Source organism: Homo sapiens, chromosome 12 (genome assembly GCF_000001405.40).
Source record: "Homo sapiens chromosome 12, GRCh38.p14 Primary Assembly".
Classification (NCBI taxonomy): Eukaryota; Metazoa; Chordata; class Mammalia; order Primates; family Hominidae; genus Homo; species Homo sapiens.
The window spans coordinates 80110723-80136358 of record NC_000012.12 but is presented as its reverse complement, the minus strand read 5'-3'; the positions used below and the strand labels follow the sequence as shown (position 1 = coordinate 80136358).

The 25636-nt window shown below is 39.0% G+C and overlaps 1 protein-coding gene across 4 annotated transcripts in view; it reads right to left on the bottom strand.

Annotated features, from left to right (window-relative positions):
• The window catches only part of OTOGL (otogelin like), a 281344-nt gene that overhangs the window by 244522 nt on the left and 11186 nt on the right, over positions 1-25636 (bottom strand). The window contains exons 2-5 of one of the 4 annotated variants that reach the window (NM_001368062.3): positions 5224-5366; positions 4241-4558; positions 3570-3886; positions 2737-2859 (exon numbers count right to left, since the gene is read on the bottom strand). The exons of 1 other annotated variant lie outside the window; for it this stretch is intronic. The gene's annotated coding sequence lies outside the window, so the exon portion shown is untranslated. Of the gene's footprint in view, positions 1-2736; positions 2860-3569; positions 3887-4240; positions 4559-5223; positions 5367-5793; positions 5983-25636 lie in introns of those variants that run through there. 2 more of the 4 variants (XM_005268802.4, NM_001378610.3) reach the window with 2 other exon arrangements.

Genomic DNA, 25636 nt, shown 5'->3' with positions numbered 1-25636 from the left:
GCAAAGGTGGTTGGACTCTCAATACAGTTTCAATCAGTAAAATGAGGACTAAGAATTGAAACATTGAATTTACCACTGGGTAGATCACTAGAGAACTTGAGAAGAGTGGTTTTGAGGAAATGGTGAGAGTGAAAGCCTGATTCTAGTGGGACCAAGAGAGAAAGAAGGGAGAGAAATTGAAGATAGTGAGTACAGACATTTCCACAAAAAAAGCAAGTCCAGAAACTGTGAGAATGAGAAGGATATTGTATTCATCAAGGTTTTCCAGAGAAACAAAACCAATAGGAAAAAGATAGACAGCTATAGACAGACATGAAGAGGTTTATTATAAGGAATCGGTTCACATGATTATGAAGGTTGGCGAGCTCAAAATCTGCACAGCCAATATCCCAGTTTGAGTCCAAAGACCAGCAGTCTGCTATAGAATCAGGAAGAACTAATGTCCCAGTTCAAAGGCCATCAGGCAGGAGAATTCTCTCTCACTCAGGTGAGAGTCGGCCTTTCTGTTCTACTCAGACCTTCAACTGATTGGATGAGACCCACCCACCTTATGGAAGGCAATCTGCTTTACTTAAGTTTACCAGTTTAAATATCAATCTCATCCAAGAATACCCTCACAAAAACACTCACAATGTTTGACCAGTTATCTAGATATCCCATGGCCTAGTCAAGTTGAGAAATAAAATTAACCATTACAGATATTGAAATAGAAAATATTAAAATCACCAAGACTTCTTATTAGTGCTAAAGAGTATGACTGTCATTCAGAAATGAAAGTATTCGATAGGCCAGGCATGATGGCTCATGCCTATAATCCCAGTGCTTTGGGAGGCCAAGGCAGGCAGATCACCTGAGGGCAGGAGTTCGAGACCAGCCTGACAAACGTGGTGAAACTCTGTTTCTACTAAAAATACAAAAATTAGCCAGGCATGGTGGTAGGCACCTGTAATCCCAGCTACTCAGGAGGCTGAGGCAGGATAACTGCTTGAACCTGGGAAGCAGAGGTTACAATGAGCTGAGATCATGCCACTGCACTGTAGCCTGGGTGATAGAGCAAGACTCCATCAAGGGAAGGGAAGGGGAGGGGAGGGGAGGGGAGGGGAGGGGAGGGGCTCAAGAAATAAAAAATGACCCAGAGATTTGTAATGGACTACAAGAAAGGGTAATAAGTAGTATAACCTAGTGATATGAGATGAAAGCAGGGACAGAGGGGAGGAAAACTGTGTTGAAAGAAGCAAGGAAGACTATGAGAGGTAACTACACCATCTGTGGTCCAAGTGATAACAGGAATGTGAGAAAAAAATAAAACAGAATCAGAGATGATGTAGAAGTGATGTCTTCATGGGAGAGCCATGTTTTAGCTAGAGAAAGGTCAACTGAACATTCAGAGATTAGAAGACGCCCAAGATATTGCTGAAGACTACCTGTAAATTCCAGAGACACATGAATAAGGTTTCAGGACTTGGAAAACTGTTGGGGATGCACCAGAAAAATCTGATATGCAGAGATATGAGGGGATGGAAAACAGCAGTGAGAATTGCCTATGGGTCCTGGGCTTCTTGTGATTACTGACATAAACATAGACAAAGAGCATAATGAGAATAATTTGATCTTAAGGCAGATAGCAGTGAAGATGCTGTAAGCTTTGGTGGGAAAGGGGGAGGATTGTTGCCAAGAAGCAGAATGCAGGTCCTCACTTCACTGCTGCCAATAATGATATGAAGACCCAGGGAATAGGAGTCTTATGTGGCATGAGAGTTTCATGAGTAGTGGACTACCAATTCAATTAAACAATATTTATTAGAAGACATATTTTGTGCAAAAACATAAAACTGTGAGTGGAGGATACCAAAATCACATGTCATTCCTTCAGAGAGGTAATCATATTCCAAAGTTTAGAATAAAATAGCCTACTTAAAAACCATAATTCAGGGCTGAATCTGACAAGTGTCATGAAATTTGTGGGTGTTATAGAAGTCCATAAGAAAAGGAAAGCCTCATCAGTTGGGAGAATGATAGCAGGTCCCTAAAGAAGTGCCCTTTAAGATAGACATCAAAGGATGCATAGAATTTTGCTAAATGGAAATAGAATTCTTATCCAGACTTCATTTGGAAAATAATACAAAATCATTAAATGTTTTAGAACAGGAAGATGAATCTGGTGTGGTGCATAAAATGGGGAGAGAGGAAAATAATCTAAAGGTTGAAAGACTTCTCAGCTGTCTAGCAATAGTCTAAATGAATAATAGGATGGTAACATTAAGAATGGAAAGGAAATGAAAACCTGATTGTATCATTCAGTCATTGCTGGAATAATGCTATTTAACAAACAATGCTGAAATTCAGTGACTCTACTTTTTTTTTTATTTTAGCTTTTAATTTTGTTTGTTTGGGTTTTTTGTTTTTGTTTTTGTTTTTGTTTTTGAGACAGAGTCTCACTATGTTGCCCAGGCCAGAGTGCAGTGGCACAGTCTCAGCTCACTGCACCCTCTACCTCCCATCTTAGCCTCCCGAGTAGCTGGACTACAGGTGTGCACCACAAAAGCCAGCTAATTTTTTGTATTTTTGTAGAGATAGGGTGTTGCCATGTTGCTTAAACTGGTCTCGAACTCCTGAGCTCAAGGAATCCACCCACCTCTGCCTACCAAAGTGCTGATATTACAGGCACGAGCCACCACACCCAGCCTTTTTTTTTTCTTGATCACACATTTGTGCATTGTCTAGGGGTTAGCTGACCTAGTCTGGGCTTGAATGAGTTTAGCTCTAAGCTGTAGGTTGTATCCTGGGCTGCTCCATGTTTCTCTTATCTTCCTTAGGCCAATGGATAAGAAAAAACACCAGAATGCTAAACATTTTACCCTGAGTAACAAAAAATAAAGAAGAAAGAAACATTTGAAAAGTTAATGAATGATTAGACTGTAGAGAGACCAAGTGCAGGTGATCAGAGTTTCTGTGCAGCTCCATTAATTTTCAAGTAAATTTCATATATAAGCATCTCTAATATATATCTCAAAAATTTTAAAGTTCAGGAGACATATAATAATAGTTCATTTATTTAGAAGACACTTTCAATCCCATATTCAATAATCATTGCCTAAAAAAACACTGCCTAAATAGGTGCTAGCATAGGCACTTAATATAACAAAATAATAAGGTAATGAGCCCTCTTTTTTTTCAAGGAAATTTTAAATACAGAAGAAAGATCCTAGTGATAAACATTCAGATTGTTTTCCTTAAAGATAACAAGAAGAAGTAACTAGACCTAATCTTGGCAATTAAAAATAATTAAATTTAGTTACTTCATTTGTATTTTAAACTTAAAATAAGTTAATGGAATTAAAGAGTTAAATAAAATGCACTTTTTAAACAAAAGTAACAGGAGAGATGCACAAAGAAGGAAAAGCTAAGTATTCATCTTGCCCTTCCCAACTCATGTCCCTGCTGAAAATGGGGGAAGACATTCATAAATTCTAGCATTATCTTCAAAACCACCTTCATAATGTTCAACCTGCTTGACATGCAGGTGAGAGGAACAGGGCAGAGAATCTTCGTTCATTTAGAATATTTACCTGGTCTTGAAAAGTGTTGTGGCCCAAGTGATCAGCAGACAATCTTTACATTTTAGAGCACAGATGATGAATATTTAATTTGTAAGTGGTCGAATCTTGATTACCTGGGCAGATTCTCAATGAATCCAAGGCAAATTTTGCAAAATATATAATCATAATTAATAGTTTAATACCTTCATTGAGACTCCAGCAAGAGATGAAAGAGAAGGTAATATAAAGTCACTGTCTAAAACATTTAGCTCCTCTAGGGAAGGGTATGAAGTAGCAGAGATGAGTCTTAGCTGCATGGATTAAGTTTCATTTCTCATTCTGTTTACCTCCCGGCAGATAAAACATTTTCAGAGAAAAAAAAGGAGAAAAATAGTTCAGTACACTAGGCAAATAGATATGAAGCCTATATGTACAGTCCACACATATTTTTATATTTTTGTCATATATGTGAGACTTCAGTAAGAGTAGCCTATAAGACTACATCTGATAAATAAATTAAAAATCAAAATTGGAAAATAAAAAATACAAATAAAGTTTAAATGATGGCATATAAAATAATACAATAATCAGACTATAAAGGTTCAGCACAACTTATATAGGTGTGGTGCCACATAAAGATACAAACAGTGAGAAGGGAGGTAGGTCAGTACTTCTCAAACCCTAGCATACATCAGACTCACCTGGAAAGTATGCCAAAAGACAGATTTCTGGGCCTGACCTCCAGAGTTTTTGATTCAGTAGGTCTGTTGAGGGGGCAGAGAATGTACATTCCAAGTAAGTTCCCGGTTGATACTAACTGGAGTAGTTAATGATGAAGGACATGAAACATTTATTGATATTGTATGTTCTTACAAACTCTATTCTTGCTACTTAAGCAATACAAAATATTAAAAGGGCTTTGGAATCAGACAGAAATAGTTTTGAGTTCCCACTCTATACTTATCTTCTGTAAAACTTCAGGAAAGTTACTAAACTTCTCTAGCCAATAGTACTCATATCTGCAAGAAAAGAAAAAAGACAATAAGATCTATCTTGAATGATTCTTACAGGGATTAAATGAACTAATGTATCTAAATCAATGAGTTTCATGCATAGGTTATAATAATAATAAAGCTAAATAAATGCCATTTGTTGTTATTATCATTATTATTACAAGAGAAAATTGTATGGTACCTAGCACACAGTAAATATGCAGTAAATGTCAGTCACCCTCCTTTGATTCATCCCATATTAAACTAAATAAAACATGCAGGTGATTCTCATAGGACATAATTCACTGAAAATGGAACAGTTGGTCAATATCATCTTTCATAAAAATTATTTTGTACAGGCTGTGTGCAAAGTCCTTTTTGGAGTATTAGAATACAAAAATAAAGTTCCTGCCCTCAGGGCCTCTGACTCTCCTCTTCCTAACAATATTCTATTCTCCCTTTTGGGAAAGCCTCCAGCATGTATACTCTTGGTTGGAGCTATTGTTCTCTATGCACTATGGAAGCAGAGATCTCTTCCACAAACTGGACCAGACAAGGGATGGACATGTGACTTAATCTGGGCTAACCAGATTTTCTATGGGTAGGACTTTGAATTCAAGGAGGATGCAAAGACAGGGGGTAGTTGGAGGTCAAGGTCATGGCAGCGGTAGTGGTAGTGACCAAGTCCTTACCAAGCTCTTCTTGCCGTGAGACTTGCTGTGCCTCCTACTTCTTAAGTTTCCAGAGCTTCCTTGGTTCCGACTGTCTCAACCCTGATCTTCCAGCCTTCTGGGGATTCCATGAATCCTTCCTGTAACCTCTGACTCCCCAAACCCTTTGGGGGGAATGAATAGGTAAAGGGGAATTAAGTTAGCCAGTGTTTGCTTCCATTGTTTTAAATCAAAAATTAAATGATACAGATAGAATATGAGCTGAATTTTAAAAGAAAGGTTGAACTCATGAAAGCAGAGAAGAAAGATCATAGCATGATAGGAAATATGGCAGATATGTGGGAATGGTTGAAGAAAAATTGTTAGATTCATGTGATGAAAACAACATGTTCATATAAATGAATTCAAAGAAGAACTGCTCTCTGGCAAATCAGCCTAGAAAATTATTTGCCCCCCTCTTTGGTGTTCATAAGCTCAGTCAGCATACCTTTATTCCTAAGGCAAAAATCACAGCATATACTGTAGAACTTAGCTTCGCCACTCCCTTCTCATCCCCACACCCTCTCTAGTTTATCAACCAAAATTGCTCACCCTAGTCCCCTGACTTCCATTTCCTTTGAGAACTTGTATAACATCTTCCCTTGTCTGTTCTCACACTGGCCTGCTCTTTCTGGTTTAGAGCCTCTTATATTCTTCAACACATTCTTTCATTGGCTCCATTCCAACCTCCAACTCTTCAAGTTGTCATTGAAAGCATAGTTCTGACCTTTAGCTCATGCAATCTAATCAACATTTCAGACTAAATTGGCCTCAGCATCTATATCCAAGACAAATGCTGATGTGTTTTCTCTGCATCTTTGCTGGAACAATTTGTCTGTCTAATTTAGGGGAAATATATTATCAGAAGAGATGCATTCCCAACTGGCTTGAATCCAGCCTCTTCCAAACACAGGGCATGATGGAATGACTTGTTCAATAAAAATTGTTTTGGGGAAAAAATTGGCAGTAGTTTTATAATGATTGGAATGAGGAAAAAACTGAATACAAAGAAACCAGTTAAGAACAAGTATGACATAGACTTGGACAAGGGTGGTAATAGGATATTTCAGAAGAAAAAAAAGGAGATAGAAAATTACAGAGGAAAAATAGGCAAGACTTGGAGGAAAAGAATGGAGATAAATCAAAAATAAGTTCATGGTTTTTAGCCATGACCAAAACAGAGAAATTGAAAGGATATGCTGCTGGTTGTAAGAATCAGTTTTATATGGGGTCATGGAAGTTAAGGGAACAAAGAAGAGTTTCAAAGCAATGAGGGCAGTCAATAAAGCAAATGCTATAAAGAGGTCAAAAAAATGACTGAGTTAAAAAAAAGTTTTTAGATTTGTTTTCTAAAAGGTCACAGGTGACTATGAATAAAATTTCAGGAAAGTGATGGGGCTGAATTCAGACCACAGGGAAATTAAGAATGAGTAGGCAGTGAAGAAACAGAGGTAACAAAGTATTTTAGGAAAGTTCAGAAGTGAAGAAAATGTAAAAGAAAAAAAAAATGAGATAGTGATTCAAGGTATCAAGAGGAAGGGTTGTACCACCCTCATTACAAAACAAAAAGTAAACTGTAAAATGGTGTTTCTTCTTAGTAGTATTAGTTGATATTTTTGACATTAAAAGCCAACTTATTGTAAAAGAGACTGGGACAATTTCCTTCTGTTAACACCTGTTGGCTTGACAAGTTATGACATAATAGTTGATTAGATAGATGCTGTCTCATAAACATAGAAAAATATGACTAAAACACAAAAAGGCCAAAGTATTGACAAGTCTTATTCACACCTTTCTACTCTCTAAAAGAAGTTGGTTTTGTTCAATATGGAAGCAAGACACAGAGAAAACGGTTTTTAATTCAAATCTTACACTCTCTCTTCCAAGAGCATATTTAAAACTAATTGCTTTATAAAATCCAGAGTGCAGGTGGGTGGAGCCAAGATGGCCGAATAGGAACAGCTCCGGTCTACAGCTCCCAGCATGAGCGACGCAGAAGTCGAATGACTTCTGCATTTCCAAGTGAGGTACTGGGTTCATCTCACTGGGGATTGTCAGACAGTGGGTGCAGGACAGTGGGTGCAGTGCACCGAGCGTGAGCCAAAGCAGGGCGAGGCATCACCTCACCCAGGAAGCACAAGGGGTCAGGGAATTCCCTTTCCTAGCCAAGGAAAGGGGTGACAGATGGCACCTGGAAAATCAGGTCACTCCCACCCTAATACTGTGCTTTTCCAATGGTCTTAGCAAACGGCACACCAGGAGATTGTATCCCGCACCTGGCTCAGAGGGTCCTATGCCTACGAAGCCTCGCTCATTGCTAGCACAGCAGTCTGAGATCAAACGGCAAGGCGGCAGCGAGGCTGGGGGACGGGTGCCCGACATTGCCAAAGCTTGACTAGGTAAACAAAGCAGCCAGGAAGCTCGAACTAGGTGGAGCCTACCACAGCTCATGGAGGCCTGCCTGCCTCTGTAGACTCCACCTCTGTGGGCAGGGCATAGCCAAACAAAAGACAGCAGAAACCTCTGCAGACTTAAATGTCCCTGTCTGACAGCTTTGAAGAGAGTAGTGGTTCTCCCAGCACGCAGCTGGAGATCTGAGAACAGGCAGACTGCCTCCTCAAGTGGGTCCCTGACCCCCGAGTACCCTAACTGGGAGGCATCTCCCAGTAGGGGCAGACTGACACCTCACATAGCCGGGTACTCCTCTGAGACAAAACTTCCAGAGGAACGATCAGGCAGCAACATTTGCTGTTCACCAATATCCACTGTTCTGCAGCCTCCGCTGCTGAAACCCAGGCAAACAGGGTCTGGAGTGGACCTCCAGCAAACTCCAGCAGACCTGCAGCTGAGGGTCCTGACTGTTAGAAGGAAAACTAACAAACAGAAAGGACATCCACACCAAAACCCCATCTGTACATCACCATCATCAAAGACAAAAGGTAGATAAAACCACAAAGATGGGGAAAAAACAGAGCAGAAAAACTGAAAATTCTAAAAATCAGAGCTCCTCTCCTCCTCCAAAGGAACACAGGTCCTCACCAGCAACGGAACAAAGCTGGATGGAAAATGACTTTGACAAGTTGATAGAAGAAGGCTTCAGACGATCAAACTACTCCAAGCTAAAGGAGGAAGTTTGAACCCATGGCAAAGAAGTCAAAAACCTTGAAAAAAGATTAGATGAATGGCTAACTAGAATAACCAATGCAGAGAAGTCCTTAAAGGACCTGATGGAGCTAAAAACCATGGCACGAGAACTACGTGATGCATGCACAAGCCTCAGTAGCTGACTCTATCAACTGGAAGAAAGGGTATCAGTGATGGAAGATCAAATAAATGAAATGAAGCAAATAAAGAAGTTTAGAGAAAAAAGAATAAAAAGAAATGAGCAAAGCCTCCAAGAAATATGGGACTATGTGAAAAGACCAAATCTACATCTGATTGGTGTACCTGAAAATGACGGAGAGAATGGAACCAAGTTGGAAAACACTCTGCAGGATATTATGCAGGAGAACTTCCCCAATCTAGCAAGGCAGGCCAACATTCAGATTCAGGAAATACAGAGAATGCCACAAAGATACTCCTCGAGAAGAGCAACTCCAAGACACACAATTGTCAGATTCACCAAAGTTGAAATGAAGGAAAAATGTTAAGGGCAGCCAGAGAGAAAGGTGGGTTACCCACAAAGGGAAGCCCATCAGACTAACAGCGGATCTCTCGGCAGAAACTCTACAAGACAGAAGAGAGTGGGGGCCAATATTCAACATTCTTAAAGAAAAGAATTTGCAACCCAGAATTTCATATCCAGCCAAACTAAGCTTCATAAGTGAAGGAGAAATAAAATACTTTACAGACAAGCAAATGTTGAGAGATTTTGTCACCACCAGGCCTGCCCTAAAAGAGCTCCTGAAGGAAGCACTAAACATGGAAAGGAAAAACCGGTACCAGCCACTGCAAAAACATGCCAAATTGTAAAGACCATCAAGGCTAGGAAGAAACTGCATCAACTAACGTGCAAAATAACCAGCTAACATCACAATGACAGGATCAAATTCACACATAACAATATCAACCTTAAATGTAAATAGGCTAAATGCTCCAATTAAAAGACACGGACTGGCAAATTGGATAAAGAGTCAAGACCCATCAGTGTGCTGTATTCAGGAAACCCATCTCATGTGCAGAGACACACGTAGGCTCAAAATAAAAGGGTGGAGGAAGATCTACCAAGCAAATGGAAAACAAAAAAAGGCAGGGGTTGCAATCCTAGTTCTCTGATAAAACAGACTTTAAACCAACAAAGATCAAAAGAGACAAAGAAGGCCATTACATAATGGTAAAGGGATCAATTCAACAAGAAGAGCTAACTATCCTAAATATATATGCACCCAATACAAGAGCACCCAGATTCATAAAGCAAGTCCTTAGAGACCTACAAAGAGGCTTAGACTCCCACACAATAATAACGGGAGATGTTAACACCCCACTGTCAATATTAGACAGATCAATGAGACAGAAAGTTAACAAGGATACCCAGGAATTGAACTCAGCTCTGCACCAAGCGGACCCAATAGACATCTACAGAACTCTCCACCCCAAATCAACAGAATATACATTCTTTTCAGCACCACACCACACCTATTCCAAAATTGACCACATAGTTGGAAGTAAAGCACTCCTCAGCAAATGTAAAAGAAGAGAGATTATAACAAACTGTCTCTTAGACCACAGTGCAATCAAACTAGAATTCAGGATTAAGAAACTCACTCAAAACCGCTCAACTACATGGAAACTGAACAACCTGCTCCTGAATGACTACTGGGTACATAATGAAATGAAGGCAGAAATAAAGATGTTCTTTGAAACCAACGAGAACAAAGACACAATATACCAGAATCTCTAGGACACATTCAAAGCAGTGTGTAGAGGGAAATTTACAGCACTAAATGCCCACAAGAGAAAGCAGGAAAGATCTAAAACTGATAGCCTAACATCACAATTAAAAGAACTAGAGAAGCAAGAGCAAACACACTCAAAAGCTAGCAGAAGGCAAGAAATAACTAAGATCAGAGCAGAACTGAAGGAAATAGGGACACAAAAAACCCTTCAAAAAATCAATGATTCCAGGAGCTTGTTTTTTGAAAAGATCAACAAAATTGATAGACTGCTAGCAAGACTAATTAAGAAGAAAAGAGAGAAGAATCAAATAGATGTAATAAAAAAATGATAAAGGGGATATCACCACCGATCCCACAGAAATAAAAACTACCATCAGAGAATACTATAAACACCTTTACACAAATAAACTAGAAAATCTAGAAGAAACGGATAAATTCCTCAACACATACACCCTCCGAAGACTAAACCAGGAAGAAGTTGAATCTCTGAATAGACCAATAACAGGCTCTGAAATTGAGGCAATAATTAATAGCTTACCAACCAAAAAAAGTCCAGGACCAGATGGATTCACAGCCGAATTCTACCAGAGGTACAAGGAGGAGCTGGTACCATTCCTTCTGAAACTATTCCAAACAATAGAAAAAGAGAGAATCCTCCTTAACTCATTTTATGAGGCCAGCATCATCCTGATACCAAAGCCTGGCAGAGACACAATCAAAAAAGAGAATTTTAGACCAATATCCCTGATGAACATCGATGCAAAAATCCTCAATAAAATACTGGCAAACTGAATCCAGCAGCACATCAAAAAGCTTATCCACCATGATCAAGTGGGCTTCATCCCTGGGATGCAAGGCTGATTCAACATATGCAAATCAATAAACGTAATCCAGCATATAAACAGAACCAATGACAAAAGCCACATGATTATCTCAATAGATGCAGAAAAGGCCTTTGACAAAATTCAACAACCCTTCATGCTAAAAACTCTCAATAAATTAGGTATTGATGGGACATATCTCAAAATAATAAGAGCTATCTATGACAAACCCACAGCCAATATCATACTGAATGGGCAGAACCTGGAAGCATTCCCTTTGAAAACCAGCACAAGACAGGGATGCCCTCCCTCACCACTCCTATTCAATATACTATTGGAAGTCTGGCCAGGGCCATTAGGCAGGAGAAGGGAATAAAGGGTATTCAATTAGGAAAAGAGGAAGTCAAATTGTCCCTGTTTGCAGATGACATGATTGTGTATCTAGAAAACCCCATTGTCTCAGCCCAAAATCTCCTTCAGCTGATAAGCAACTTCAGCAAAGTCTCAGGATACAAAATCAATGTACGAAAATCACAAGCATTCTTATACACCAATAACAGACAAACAGAGAGCCAAATCATGAGTGAACTCCCATTCACAATTGCTTCAAAGAGAATAAAATACCTAGGAATCCAACTTACAAGGGATGTGAAGGACCTCTTCAAGGAGAACTACAAACCACTGCTCAAGGAAATAAAAGAGGATACAAACAAATGGAAGAACATTCTATGCTCATGGGTAGGGAGAATCAATATCATGAAAATGGCCGTATTGCCCAAGGTAATTTATAGATTCAATGCCATCCCCATCAAGCTACCAATGCCTTTCTTCACAGAATTGGAAAAAACTACTTTAAAGTTCATATAGAACCAAAAAAGAGCCCACATCACCAAGTCAATCCTAAGCCAAAAGAACAAAGCTGGAGGCATCATGCTACCTGACTTCAAACCATACTACAAGGCTACAGTAACCAAAACAGCATGGTACTGGTACCAAAACAGAGATATAGACCAATGGAACAGAACAGAGCCCTCAGAATTAATACCGCATATCTACAACTATCTGATCTTCGACAAACCTCACAAAAACAAGCAATGGGGAAAGGATTCCCTATTTAATAAATGGTGCTGGGAAAACTGGCTAGACATATGCAGAAAGCTGAAACTGGATCCCTTCCTTACACCTTATACAAAAATTAATTCAAGATGGATTAAAGACTTAAATGTTAGACATAAAACCATAAAAACCCTAGAAGAAAACCTAGGCAACACCATTCGGGACATAGGCATGGGCAAGGACTTCATGTCTAAAACACCAAAAGCGATGGCAATAAAAGCCAAATTGACAAATGGGATCTAGTTAAATGAAATAGCTTCTGCACAGCGAAAGAAACTACCATCAGAGGGAGCAGGCAACCTACAGAATGGGAGAAAATTTTTGCAATCTACTCATCTGACAAAGAGCTAATATCCAGAATCTACAATGAACTCAAACAAATTTACAAGAAAAAAACAAACAACCCCATCAAAAAGTGGGCGAAGGATATGAACAGATACTTCTCAAAAGAAGACATTTATGTAGCCAAAAGACACATGAAAAAATGCTCATCATCACTGGCCATCAGAGAAATGCAAATCAAAACCACAATGAGATACCATCTCACACCAGTTAGAATGGCAATCATTAAAAAGTCAGGAAACAACAGGTGCTGGAGAGGATGTGGAGAAATGGGAACACTTTTACACTGTTGGTGGGACTATAAACTAGTTCAACCATTGTGGAAGTCAGTGGGGCGATTCCTCAGGGATCTAGAACTAGAAATACCATTTGACCCAGCCATGCCATTACTGACTGGGTATATACCCAAAGGATTATAAATCATGCTGCTATAAAGGCACATGCACACGTATGTTTATTGCAGCACTATTCACAATAGCAAAGACTTGGAACCAACCCAAATGTCCAACAATGATAGACTGGATTAAGAAAATGTGGCACATATACACCATAGAATACTACACAGCCTTAAAAAATGATGAGTTCATGTCCTTTGTACAAACATGGATGATGCTGGAAACCATCATTCTCAGCAAACTATCGCAAGGACAAAAACCCAAACACCACATGTTCTCACTCATAGGTGGGAATTGAACAAGGAGAACACATGGACACAGGAAGGGGAATATCACACACTGGGGCCTGTTGTGGGGTGGGGGAAGGGGGAGGGATAGCATTAGGAGATATACCTAATGTTAAATGATGAGTTATTGGGTGCAGCACACCAGCATGGCACATGTATACATATGTAACAAATCTGCACGTTGTGCACATGTACCCTAAAACTTAAAGTATAATTAAAAAAAAAAAGAAAAGAAATCACCAGGTGAAGGAAAATGTTAATGAAACAAAAGGCATTCACTCTGTCCTCTTACCTGGAGCCTGGTTCAGGCTCTGGACTCCAGGGAAAGTGAGCAAGAGGGAGAAAAAATAAAAAATAAAAATAAAAAAATAAAAATAAAATCCAGAGTGCAAGCAAGGACTCAACTTGCAGAGCAACTGCATAGATTTCTGCATTTGGAAACTTGGTCTTTCCAAGTCATAGAAATGAAAACAAAGCATATATGAAAAATGACTATCCTGCTGTTATTTGAGTGTTTGCATACTGTTTCCATAAAGAAGCAGAAACCCAGTGTCAGACTCGTGCATACTCAGAAAGGTAAAAGACAGCATCTGGGGAATGACACTAGAGAAATGTGCCTCATTTCTTTTGCTTCTTGCCAAGCTTACCTTGACATTTACTTCTATAAACATAGTCAGTAAAGACTATGAAAAGAAATTATCTTCTGAATTTACATCTGGATTTTTTCTCAGCTGCCACAACTTAACCAGATAAGAGTTTTCCTCTTCATTTCTATAATAATACTAATAATTAATGATACAAAGTATCTTGTATTGCATCTTATTCCTAACTTCTTCCCTGACTGCTAGTCTCATTTTCTTTTTGCCATAGCACAGTTAAATGAAAAAGAACAATTATTTTTGTCTTTCATTGATTATTCCAGTATGTCATAATGGTTGCATAAAGGAAACACAGGGACACTTAAAATTATTTTGATCTTGATGTGACAGTGTATTTATTTCTTTTTTTGCTTATACATTGGAATTTTATCCTAGAACTAAGTTCAGAAGGTAGAGGTATATATGTATATTAATTCTAACTGTGATCTCAAGTACTTTTTTTTCTTTTTAGTTAGTTAAACAACTCAAAGTTTTGAAAAGGATGGATTTGGCAATTGTTCATTTTTTGTGGTATTTTTCTTAATCAAAAATGATTCAAATGAGACAGTTTGAGCCTCAGATGGATTTGGTGCTTGAATTATTTATATTGGCCATATGATGATTTTGCACTCATCTCTTTCTCGTGTTTACAACATCATGTTCTGAAATAAAGTACAAATTATAAGTGTGTGTCACTGTGCATTTCTCTGTGCATTTCTTGCATTCTTACTCCTCAGCAACTCAGGCACACCTCCAATTACTGGAACTCAATACAAATTGTTCCTGCTTAAGATTACTAAAGGATAAAAGGATTGGCCAGTAGTCCCACATAAACCCACGAAGAACCTCCCACTATGGGTTTAAATGATTCTACCATCCTCATAATGTCAGTTAAGCTGTGTTAGCCTAAATATTACATTTTAATTTTAGACAATCTACATGATACGAAGAGAAGTGTTTTAGTGTCAATTTTTCTATTTACTTGGCCAATTAGAAAACCAAACAAGATAATCAAAACTGCTATTATGGTTTGGTTTTTTATTTTGTTTTGTTTCGTGGGGTGGTTGATTTTGTCTAAACTGTATGAATCCAGTTTGTGTTATATAGACTCTCTGCTCTAGGGAGGGATTAGAGACTTCTATATAATGGTGTCTAAGGATGAGGAAGTTGTTGCAGATACTTAATGTCTATACTTGCAGTGTGTTAGAGTCAAAAGTTCTTGTGTTTTTTCTCCAAAATATCTGAAGGAGGAGCTGAGGAGGCAACGGTCTGCTTGAAAGGTAGCCTTTGTAGTCTTGTCTTAAGCTGCATACACATAGAAATCGTTCTGTTTTTATTTAGTGTTTCCTTGAGGTGGCTTTAGAGATTGTCATGAGTCTCCTTGTTCCTGAGCCAGATATTCACAAACAGGTGGTTTATTATGAAGTATTCTCAGCAATAATGCTTGTAAAGGAGTGAGGAAAGCAGGACAGGGCAGAGGGAGAGGTTGACCTCCAAGGCAGTTGTAACAGAGGCCTCAGCCCTTCTCACACAGTTCTCTGAAGCTTGAATATCCCCTCAGACCTGAGCTGAATTGAAGCAAGGAGCTCGGCCTTTGTCCCTCCACACACCCTACCCTAAATAACTAGTCATAGGAAATATGCTGCCTCCAAGAATGGGTTATAAACTTGCTCAGCCAAAAGAATTTCTTGGGGAAGGAATCAGTTGTGAACTCTCAGCACTGGACACTTCTGGTTCTCAGGGGAATAAGGGTCTTTGTTCTGAAAGCAGGATCTGGACTATGCTCCATAGTGTCTACTACAGGGGTAGAGATAGTCCCTGGGTTCTGTCACTGCCTATAAACCCAACTCTGCAGACAAATTCATGAAGAGGTGAGATTTGTATAGTTTGTGTTTTTATATCGAGGGAATCTTTTAACAAGTCAGCTTACCGCATTAAAAATCTAAAACTTCTCTTGTGTAGCAATATTCATATTGAAAGGCATTTCCATAGGTTAAAACTTTAATTTCTTAAATCAGTATTTCTCATACTTGGATTTTTGGAGAGATCCTCCAATGAGAGAGAATCCTTAGGATTTTTTTTCAAGAAGTTTGCACATTATTCAAGTATAGGAAATACTGGAAGTAGTGGAAAAATCTGGGCTCAAGAATCAGAGTTGAGTTTAAATCTTTTATGTGTTGCTGCTTGCTAATTATATAACAACAGGTATGTAACTTTTTTTTAATCCTTTATGCTGTCATTCACAAGGTGAATGTGATGAATATTAAATAAAATAACCCAGCTAGGATTCAGCATAGTGCCTGGCATACTTAGAAACTCTAATTAAATGATATTTGTTGTCATTATGTCAGTAAATCTTGCAGTTGCTTTGATATAACTTGGCACACATCTTTTTGCATTATCTGAAAAAAGATGTTAAGAAGAAGAAAATTAGAAATCTATCACCCCAGCTACCCCATCCTATGATTGGCCAAATGTTGTGGTGAAATAATCAAGCTAAAGACACAAGCTCAAAGATAACCAGCATATTCAAACTCTGCTACTCCAGAAAAAAAAAATGGTAAAAAGTCTAAAGAGCTTCATTTAATAAGATCAAAAGAATTGAACTATTGCTTTCTAAGAGAAGAGAAACTATTTTAAAAGGAAAACAAACACAAATCAACCTCAGTCTCTAAAGACAACTGATGAAAAAATTATTAATTCCATAAAATCATGAATCTAAGAAAGTTTTTGAAACATAAAAGGTATTCAGTAGTCCCTGAATTGAATTACATCATATGAGTAGAGTGAACATAATCTGGTTTACCATGTAGTATTTTAAAATTGAAGAATTTAATGAATACCTACCATGTACAAAAAAATTGTATTAAAGGATGAAAGCACACAGATAACTAAGACATAGTATCTGCCTTTATGAAACTCACTGGGTAAGTGTGAGAATGCCATGTCAACAAATCAGCATAATACAGTAACAGAGTACATGGGGGAAGGGGCCACTAACTCTGATGGGAAAGGTCAAGTTAAGGGCATTAGGCACTTTCCTATAAACAACAGCAAGACAACAAAGGTTTATAAGCAGAGGGTTCACATTATTGCACCCTGCGGTCTGCTGCTAGTGTTGTAATCACAACGGCCGACATTGTGATTATATTATATACAATCTCTATTATAGACAATCTCTGCCATTGCAATTATAACACTAGCAGCAGACTGCAGGGTGAACTGAAGCCAGGCTGAATTTAGGGGCAAGGAGACCAGCTAACAAGCTGTGCCATTTACCCTTCTGACTGTGAACTATTGACTGCTTCTGACTGCTTACAGAGTAAGAAGTAAGAGAAATGATAAAGAGAACAGGCTCAAGAGATAGTCAAGAGAGAGTCTTGCATTCTTCATAGAACTCAGAATCGTATTTCACTGGCCTTAGGAAGATGCACTCCCAATGCCCTGCAATTCTAATTCTAAAATCTTGGATTCAGTAGCTGTCAGCTGGGTCAAAAGGTCAGCCCCTTGATGCTGTTTCCTCTCTTCTTCCCACTGTCTTTTCTAGAATATAAACAATCATGCTCCTCAAATTCCCATCAGATAGGAAATTGTGATTCCAGGGAAATAGGCCAAAATTAGCCAGCTTCCTCTCTATGAGCAGGCCTCTTCTCGATAAATAAAATCCTATTTCCTTTGAAACCAGAAACCTTGCTTAATATCCAATATCAATATCAAAGAGCAATTCTTCTCCTTCTTATGACCAAAAAAAAAAAAAAACAGATCTAAGATTAAACATTTCTTAAGACAAGAGTTTTAGGACCTCTCTCAGTCAGAATATGCTTGATAAAATGACTTTTCCAGTATACTATTTTTAGCTTTCATCTTTTTCCTACCAAAATATGTTCTCACTGGTACAAAATGTTAGCTTACATGCAATAAGAGTCATTTTTCTCCAACTCTGTTATTAGTAGGAAAAAAACTCCACCCAAATAAAGCAAATGCTGTTTGAAATGGTGTCAATTAAACCATATTTCACATTACTCTAGAGGATAATTATGTCAAATGACTGGTAGAGATTTACTGATTGAGCTCTTGTTTACTACATTTTGTAAGTATATTGAATTTAGAGCTCATTTACAAGTAAACACTTTGGGCACATGAGAGTCAGGGTCCACTTCACCTTCCTAAGCCATCGGGGTTGGGAAGAAAACGTTACACTCCTTCTATCCCCCTCCTAGCGCTGTGAGATCATCCAAATCAGCAAATAATGTAGTTTACCCATCATTGCAAAATCAGCCAGCATCTATCTCAGGCACGCTTCACAGCCGATGGCAGCAGAGAAAGACCTTTCCATAGATTTGTATGATCAAAGAGCTCAATCTAGGAGCACAAAACATGGTTATCTTGGCAGCATAATTTCCTCCAATTTCCCTCATCAGAGGCTGCCAAACTCACCTCTTCCCTGCCTTGGGCCAATCTCCTAAATTAGACAGTGACTTGGGGTGTTCCTATAGTTCTGAGAATAGAGAAGCTGCATGATCCCCCACCTCTTTAAGGGAAGGTAAAAAATAGTCTACATTAGAAGTGAAGACACCCAGGCAAGAGACTCATCACTGGCAGTGATGAGACAACAGGCGTGATGGGACAGTCCAGGCTTCCTGAAGGAGATAGTTTTAAAGATGTGCTTTGAAGAAAGGAGAATATGTGTTTTTGATAAGGAAGCATGTGCAGGAAGGGCATTTTAAGATGTGCTTTTGAAGAAGAAAAAAGCAGTAGCAGGAAGGGCATTTTAAGATTGCAGGAAAATATGAACAAGAAATAAAGTTAAGAAAGCAAAGCTTGTATCCAAGGAAACCTGTGAAATCCAGTTTGGCTGCAATTAGGTATACGGATGCTAACAAAACAGAACTAGGTAGAAAAGGCAGGTTTAATTGATTTGAGGATTCTTCTAGGTCGTACATAATGAAGGTTGGATTTAATTTAATGGACTCTTGGAAGTGAATGATGTTTTGAAGAAGAAAAAATAGGATCAGATGCTTTAAGGAGATTATTCTGGCAAGAGAAAGGAGAGGCAGGAGGTACGGAAAACATCAGGTGGCTATTTCAGGCAAAATGTACTCAAAGCCTGAGTTAACGTGATGGTAATGGGAAAGAAATGAGTTAGAAGATTCAAGGGGCATTGTGGAGCTAGGTTCTACATGTCTAGGCTTCTGACTGTGATTGCAGAGTAAGAAATAGGAGTCAAAGTTTACTACAAGGTCTCTAACTTAAATGAATTGAATAATTACTGCCATTAATGGAAAAATAATTAATGACATTAATAAAAAAAGTCTTGTTTTAAAGAACACGATGAGTTCCATTTTATATATATATATTTTTTTAAGTCACCCAGAGATAGCTTATCGCCTCTATTTTATAGATGGTAGTTAACATGGTAACTAAGATTCAAAGGTAAAAGTGATTATGTCAGATATAACTTACATGACACCCCTGATACTCCAGGCCCCATTTGTCTCTTGAGCCATTATCCAATTGAGACAGTTGAATCTTCACTTTGATGACCAACTCCATATGGGCTCCAGTAGGCTTTCCCAACAGCACAGACTTCATGCCAATGGATCACCTTGCATCTCCTGTCCTATGGCTTTCCTGTTGCCACTGGAGCATAGAGCCCCACCTCACTTGCTCACAGTGTACAGAAGCACAAGGAAAACAAAACCAAAGTTCAGGGAAGCTGACACACTTTATGGAATTATTTGAGCAATGACAGATGAGAGTTCATTGATAAATTCTTTTTCCCAAGATGGGCCATCCAGAGATGTGGTAGTTTAATATGTTCTCTTGGAAGGAGAGGATTAAGAGTGAGTAATCAGTTGCATTTGATACCAGGTGGTAAAAGATTCACTCAGAATATATCCTCATTTGGCTTTCCTTTCTTCCTCGTCTCATTCTCCTTTTACCCACACCAGCTTTCCTGGGATTGCATTCCCTAATAAAAAATTTCATCTAAGCTTTTGCCTCACTTTTTGTTTTCTGGGGGACCTAGACTAAGAGAGTGATTAAAGCCTCAACAAAGGTTGGTTGTAAATTGTATAAGCATCATTGGTCATTAAGATTAATGCAGTGGATGACTGGGGCAAGATGGCTAAATAGGAACAGCTCCTATATGCAGTTCCCAGGGATACCAATGTAGAAGGCAGGTGATTTCTGCATTTCCAACTGAGGTACCCAGTTCATCTCACTGGGACTTGTTAGACAGTGGATGCAGCCCACAGAGGGCAAGCAGAAGCAGGATGGGGCACGACCTCACCTGGGAAGTACAAGGGGTCGGGGAACTCTCTCCCCTATCCAAGGGAAACTGTGAGGGACTGTGCCATGAGGGATGGTGCTATCCGGCCCAGATACTACACCTCTCCCACAGTCTTCGTAACCCACAGACCAGGAGATTCCCTCAGGTGCCTACACCACCAAGGCCTTGGGTTTCAAGCACAAAACTGGGCGGCCATTTGGGCAGATACCGAGCTAGCTGCAGGAGTTTCTTTGCACATCCCAGTGGCACCTGTAATGCCAGCAAGACAGAACCATTCACTCCCCTGGAAAGGGGGCAGAAGCCAGGGAACCAAGTGGTCTTCTCGTCAAATCCCAGTCCCACAGAGCCCAGGAAGCTAAGATCCACTGGCTTGAAATTCTCGCTGCCAGCACAGCAGTCTGAAGTCAACTTGGGACACTGAAGCTTGGTGGGGGGAGGGGTGTCCACCATTACTGAGGCTTGAGTAGGCAGTTTTCCCCTCACAGTGTAAACAAAGCCACCAGGAAGTTCAAACTGGGCAGAGCCCACCACTGCTCAGCAAAGGCCCGGTAGATAGATTGCCTCTCTAGATTCCTTTTCTCTGGGAAGGGCATCTCTGAAAAAGAAAGGCAGCAGCCCCAGTCAGGGGTTTATACATAAAACTCCCATCTCCCTGGGACAGAGCACCTGGGGGGAAGCAACGGCTGTAGGAACAGCTTCAGCAGACTTAAATGTTCTTGACTGCTGGCTCTGGAGAGAGCAATGGATTTCCCAGCACAGTGCTTGAGCTCTGCTAAGGGACAGACTGCCTCCTTAAGTGGGTCCCTGACCCCCATGCCTACTGATGGGGAGACACTTCCCAGACACTTCCTCTGCTCCAGAGGAAGCAGAGGAAAGAGGAGAGAGCAATCTTTGCTGTTATGCAGCCTCAGCGGGTGATACCCAGGCAAACAGGGTCTGGTGTGGACCTCCAGCAAACTCCAGCAGACCTGCAGAAGAGGGACCTGACTGTTAGAAGGAAAAATTACAAAGAGAAAGCAATAGCATCAACATCAACAAAAAGGAAGACCACACAAAAACTCCATCCAAAGTTCACCAAGAGCAAAGACCAAAGGTAGATAAAACCACGAAGATGAGGAAAAACCAGGGCAAAAAGGCTGAAAATTACAAAAACCAGAATGCCTCTTCTCCAAAGGATAACAACTCCTCACCATCAAGGGAACAAAACTGGACAGAGAATGAGTTTGACGAATTGACAGAAGTAGCCTTCAGAAGGTGGGTCATAAACTTCTCTGAGCTTGCATGTTCTAACCCAATGCAAGGAAGCTAAGAACCTTGATAAAAGGTTAGAGGAATTACTAACTTTAGAGAAGAACATAAATGACCTGATGGAGCTGAAAAACACAGCACAAGAACTTCATGAAGTATACACAAGTATCAATAGCTGAATTGATCAAGCAGAAGAAAGGATATAAGAGATTGAAGATCAACTTAATGAAATAAAGTGTAAAGACAAGATTAGAGAAAAAAAAATGAAAAGGAACAAACAAAGCCTCCAACAAATATGGGACTACGTGAAAAGACCAAACCTACATTTGATTGGTATACATGAAAGTGATGGGGAGAATGGAACCAAGTTGAAAAAACACACTTCAGGATATTATCCAGGAGAACTTCCCCAACCTAGCAATACCAGCCAACACTCAAATTCAGGAAATACAGAGAACACCACAAAGACACTCCTCGAGAAGAGCAACCCCAGGACACATAATTGTCAGATTCACCAAGGTTGAAATGGTGGAAAAAAACGTTAAGGGCAGCCAGAGAGAAAGGTCAGGTTACCCACAAAGGGAAGCCCATCAGACTAATGCAGATCTCTTGGCAGAAACCCTACAAGCCAGAAAAGTGTAGGGGCTAATATGCAACGTTCTTAAAGAAAAGAATTTTCAACCCAGAATTTCATATCCAGCCAAACTAAGCTTCATAAGAGAAGAAGAAATAAAATCCTTTACAGACAAGCAAATGCTGAGGGATTTTGTCACCACCAGACCTGCCTAACAAGAGCTCCTGAAGGAAGCACTAAATATGGAAAGGAAAAACTGGTACCAGCCACTGCAAAAACAAACCAAAATGTAAAGGCCATTGACACTATGAAGAAACTACATCAACTAACGGGCACAATAACCAGCTAACATCATAATCACAGGATCAAATTCACACATAACAATATTAAAATTAAAGGTAAATGGGTAAATTCCCCAATTAAAAGACATAGACTGGCAAATTGGATAAAGAGTCAAGACCCATCGGTGTGCTGTATTCAGGAGACCCATCTCACGTGCAAAGACACACATAGGCTCAAAATAAACAGATGGAGGAAGATTTACCAAGAAAGTGAAAGGAAAAAAAAAGCAGGTGTTGCAATCCTAGTCTCATAAAACAGACTTTAAACCAAAAAAGATGAAAAAAGGCAAAGGGCATCACATTGTGGTAAAGGAATCAATGCAACAAGAAGAGCTAACTATCCTAAATATATATATGCACCCAATACAGGAGCACCCAGATTCATAAAGCAAGTTCTTAGAGACCTACAAAGAGACTTAGACTCCCACACAATAATAGTACTCCCACACTGTCAATATTAGATCAGTGAGACAAAAAATTAACAAGGATATTCAGGACTTGAACTCAGCTCTGGACAAAACAACCTAATAGACATCTATGAAATCATAACAGTCTCTCAGACCACAGTGCAATCAAATTAGAACTCAGGATTAAGAAACTCAATCAAAACCACACAATTACATGGAAACTGAACAACCTGTTTCTGAATGACTACTGGGTAAATAATGAAATTAAGGCAGAAATAAATAAGTTACTTGAAACCAATGAGAAAAAAGACACAACGTACCAGAATCTCTGGAACACAGCTAAAGCAGTGTTTAGAGGGAAATTTATAGCACTAAATGCCCACAGGAGAAAGCAGGAAAGATCTAAAATTGACACCCTAACATCATAATTAAAAGAACTAAAGAAGCAAGAGCAAACAAATTCAAAAGCTAGAAGAAGACAAGAAATAACTAAAATCAGAGCAGAACTGAAGGAGATAGAGACATGAAAACCCTTCAAAAAAATCAATCGAATCCCAGAGATGGTTTTTTGAAAAGATTAACAAAATACATAGACCACTAGCCAGACTAATAAAGAAAGAAAGAAGAATCAAATAGACACAATAAAAAATGATAAAGGGGAGATCACCTCTGATCCCACAGAAATACAAACTACCATCAGGGAATACTATAGACACCTCTACACAAATAAACTGGAAAATCTACAAGAAGTGGATAAATTCCTGACACATACACCTTCCCAAGACTAAACCAGGAAGAAGTCAAATCCCTGAATAGACCAATAACAAGTTCTGAAATTGAGACAGTAATTAATAGCCTACCAACCAAAAAAAGTCCAGGACCAGACAGATTCACAGCTGAATTCCACCAGAGGTCCAAAGAGGAGCTGGTACCATTCCTTCTGAAACTATTCCAAACAATAGAAAAAGAGGAAATCCTCCATAACTCATGTTATGAGGCCAGCATCATCCTGATACCAAAGCCTGGCAGAGACACAACAAAAAAAAAAAAAAGAAAGAAAATTTCAGGCAAATATCCCTAATGAACATCAGTGCAAAAATCCTCAATAAAATACTGGCAAACTGAATCCAGCAACACATCAAAAAGCTTATCCACCACAATAAAGTTGGCTTCACCCCTGGGATACAAGGCTGGTTCAACATGCACAAATCAATAAACGTAATCCATCACATAAACAGAAACAATGATAAAAACCACATGATTATCTCGATAGATGCAGAAAAGGCCTTCAATAAAATTCAACACCCCTTCATGCTAAAAACACTCAATAAACTAGCTATTGATGGAAGACATCTGAACATAATAAAAGCTCTTTATGACAAACCCACAGCCAATACCATACCGAATGGGCAAAAGCTGGAAGCATTCTGTTTGAAAACTGGCACAAGACAAGAATGCCCTCTCTCACAACTTCTATTTCACATAGTACTGGAAGTTCTGGCTAGGGCAATCAGGCAACAGAAAATAAAAGGTATTCAAATAGGAAGAGATGACATCAAATTACCTCTGTTTTAGATGACATGATTGTATATTTAGAAAATCCCATAGTCTCAGCCCCAAAACTCCTTAAACTGATAAGGAACTTTAGTAAAGTCTCAGAATACAAAATCAATGTGCAAAAATCACAAGCATTCCTATACACCAATTATAGACAAACAGAGAGCCAAATAATGAGCAAACTCCCATTCACAATTGCTACATAGAGAATAAAATAACTAGGAATACAACTTACAAGGGATGTGAAGGACCTCTTCAAGGAGAACTACAAACCACTGCTCAAGGAAATAAGAGAGGACACAAACAAATGGAAAAACATTCCATGCTCATGGATAGAAAGAATCAATATAGTGAAAATGGCCATACTGCCCAGAGTAATTTATAGATTCAATGTTATCTCCATCAAGCTACCATTGACTATCTTCACAGAATTAGAAGCAACTACTTAAATTTCATATGGAACCAAAAAACAGCCTGTATAGCCAAGACAATCCTAAGCAAAAAGAACAAAGCTGGAGGCATCACGCTACCTGACTTCAAACTACACTACAAGGCTGCAGTAACCAAAACAGCATAGTACTGATACCAAAACAGATATATAGACCAATGGAACAGAACAGAGGCCTCACAAATAACACCACACATCTACATCCATCTGATCTTTGACAAACCTGACAAAAACAAGCAATGGGGAAAGGATTCTCTATTTAATAAATGGTGTTGGGAAAACTAGCCAGCCATATGCAGAAAACTGAAACTGGACCCCTTCCTTACACCTTATACAAAAATCAACTCAAGCCAGAAAAAAGATTTAAATGTAAGACCTAAAACCATAAAAACTTTAGAAGAAAACCTAAGCAATACCATTCAGGATACAGGCATGGGCAAAGACTTCATGACTAAAACACCAAAAGCAATGGCAACAAGAGCCAAGATTGACAAATGGGATCTAATTAAACTAGAGAGCTTCTGCAAAAGAAACTATCATTGGAGTGAACAGGCAACCTACAGAATGCGAGAAAATTTTTGCAATCTATCCATCTGACAAAAGTCTAATAACCAGAATCCACAAGGAACTTAAACAAATTTACAAGAAAAATAACCCCATCAAATAGTGGGCAAAGGATATGAAGAGACACTTCTCAAAAGCACACATTTATGCAGCCATGCAGCCAACAAACGTATGAAAAAAAGCTCATCATCACTGGTCATTAGAGAAATGTAAATTAAAACCACAATGAGATATCATTTCACACCAGTTAGAATGGCAATCATTAAAAAGCCTGGAAACAGATGCTGGAGAGGATGTGGAGAAATAGGAACACTTTTACACTGTTGGTGGGAGTGTAAATTAGTTCAACCATTGTGGAAGACAGTGTGGCGATTCCTCAAAGATCTAGAACTAGAAATACCATTTGACCCAGCAATCCCATTACTGGGGATATACCCAAAGGATTATAAATCATTCTACTATAAAGACAC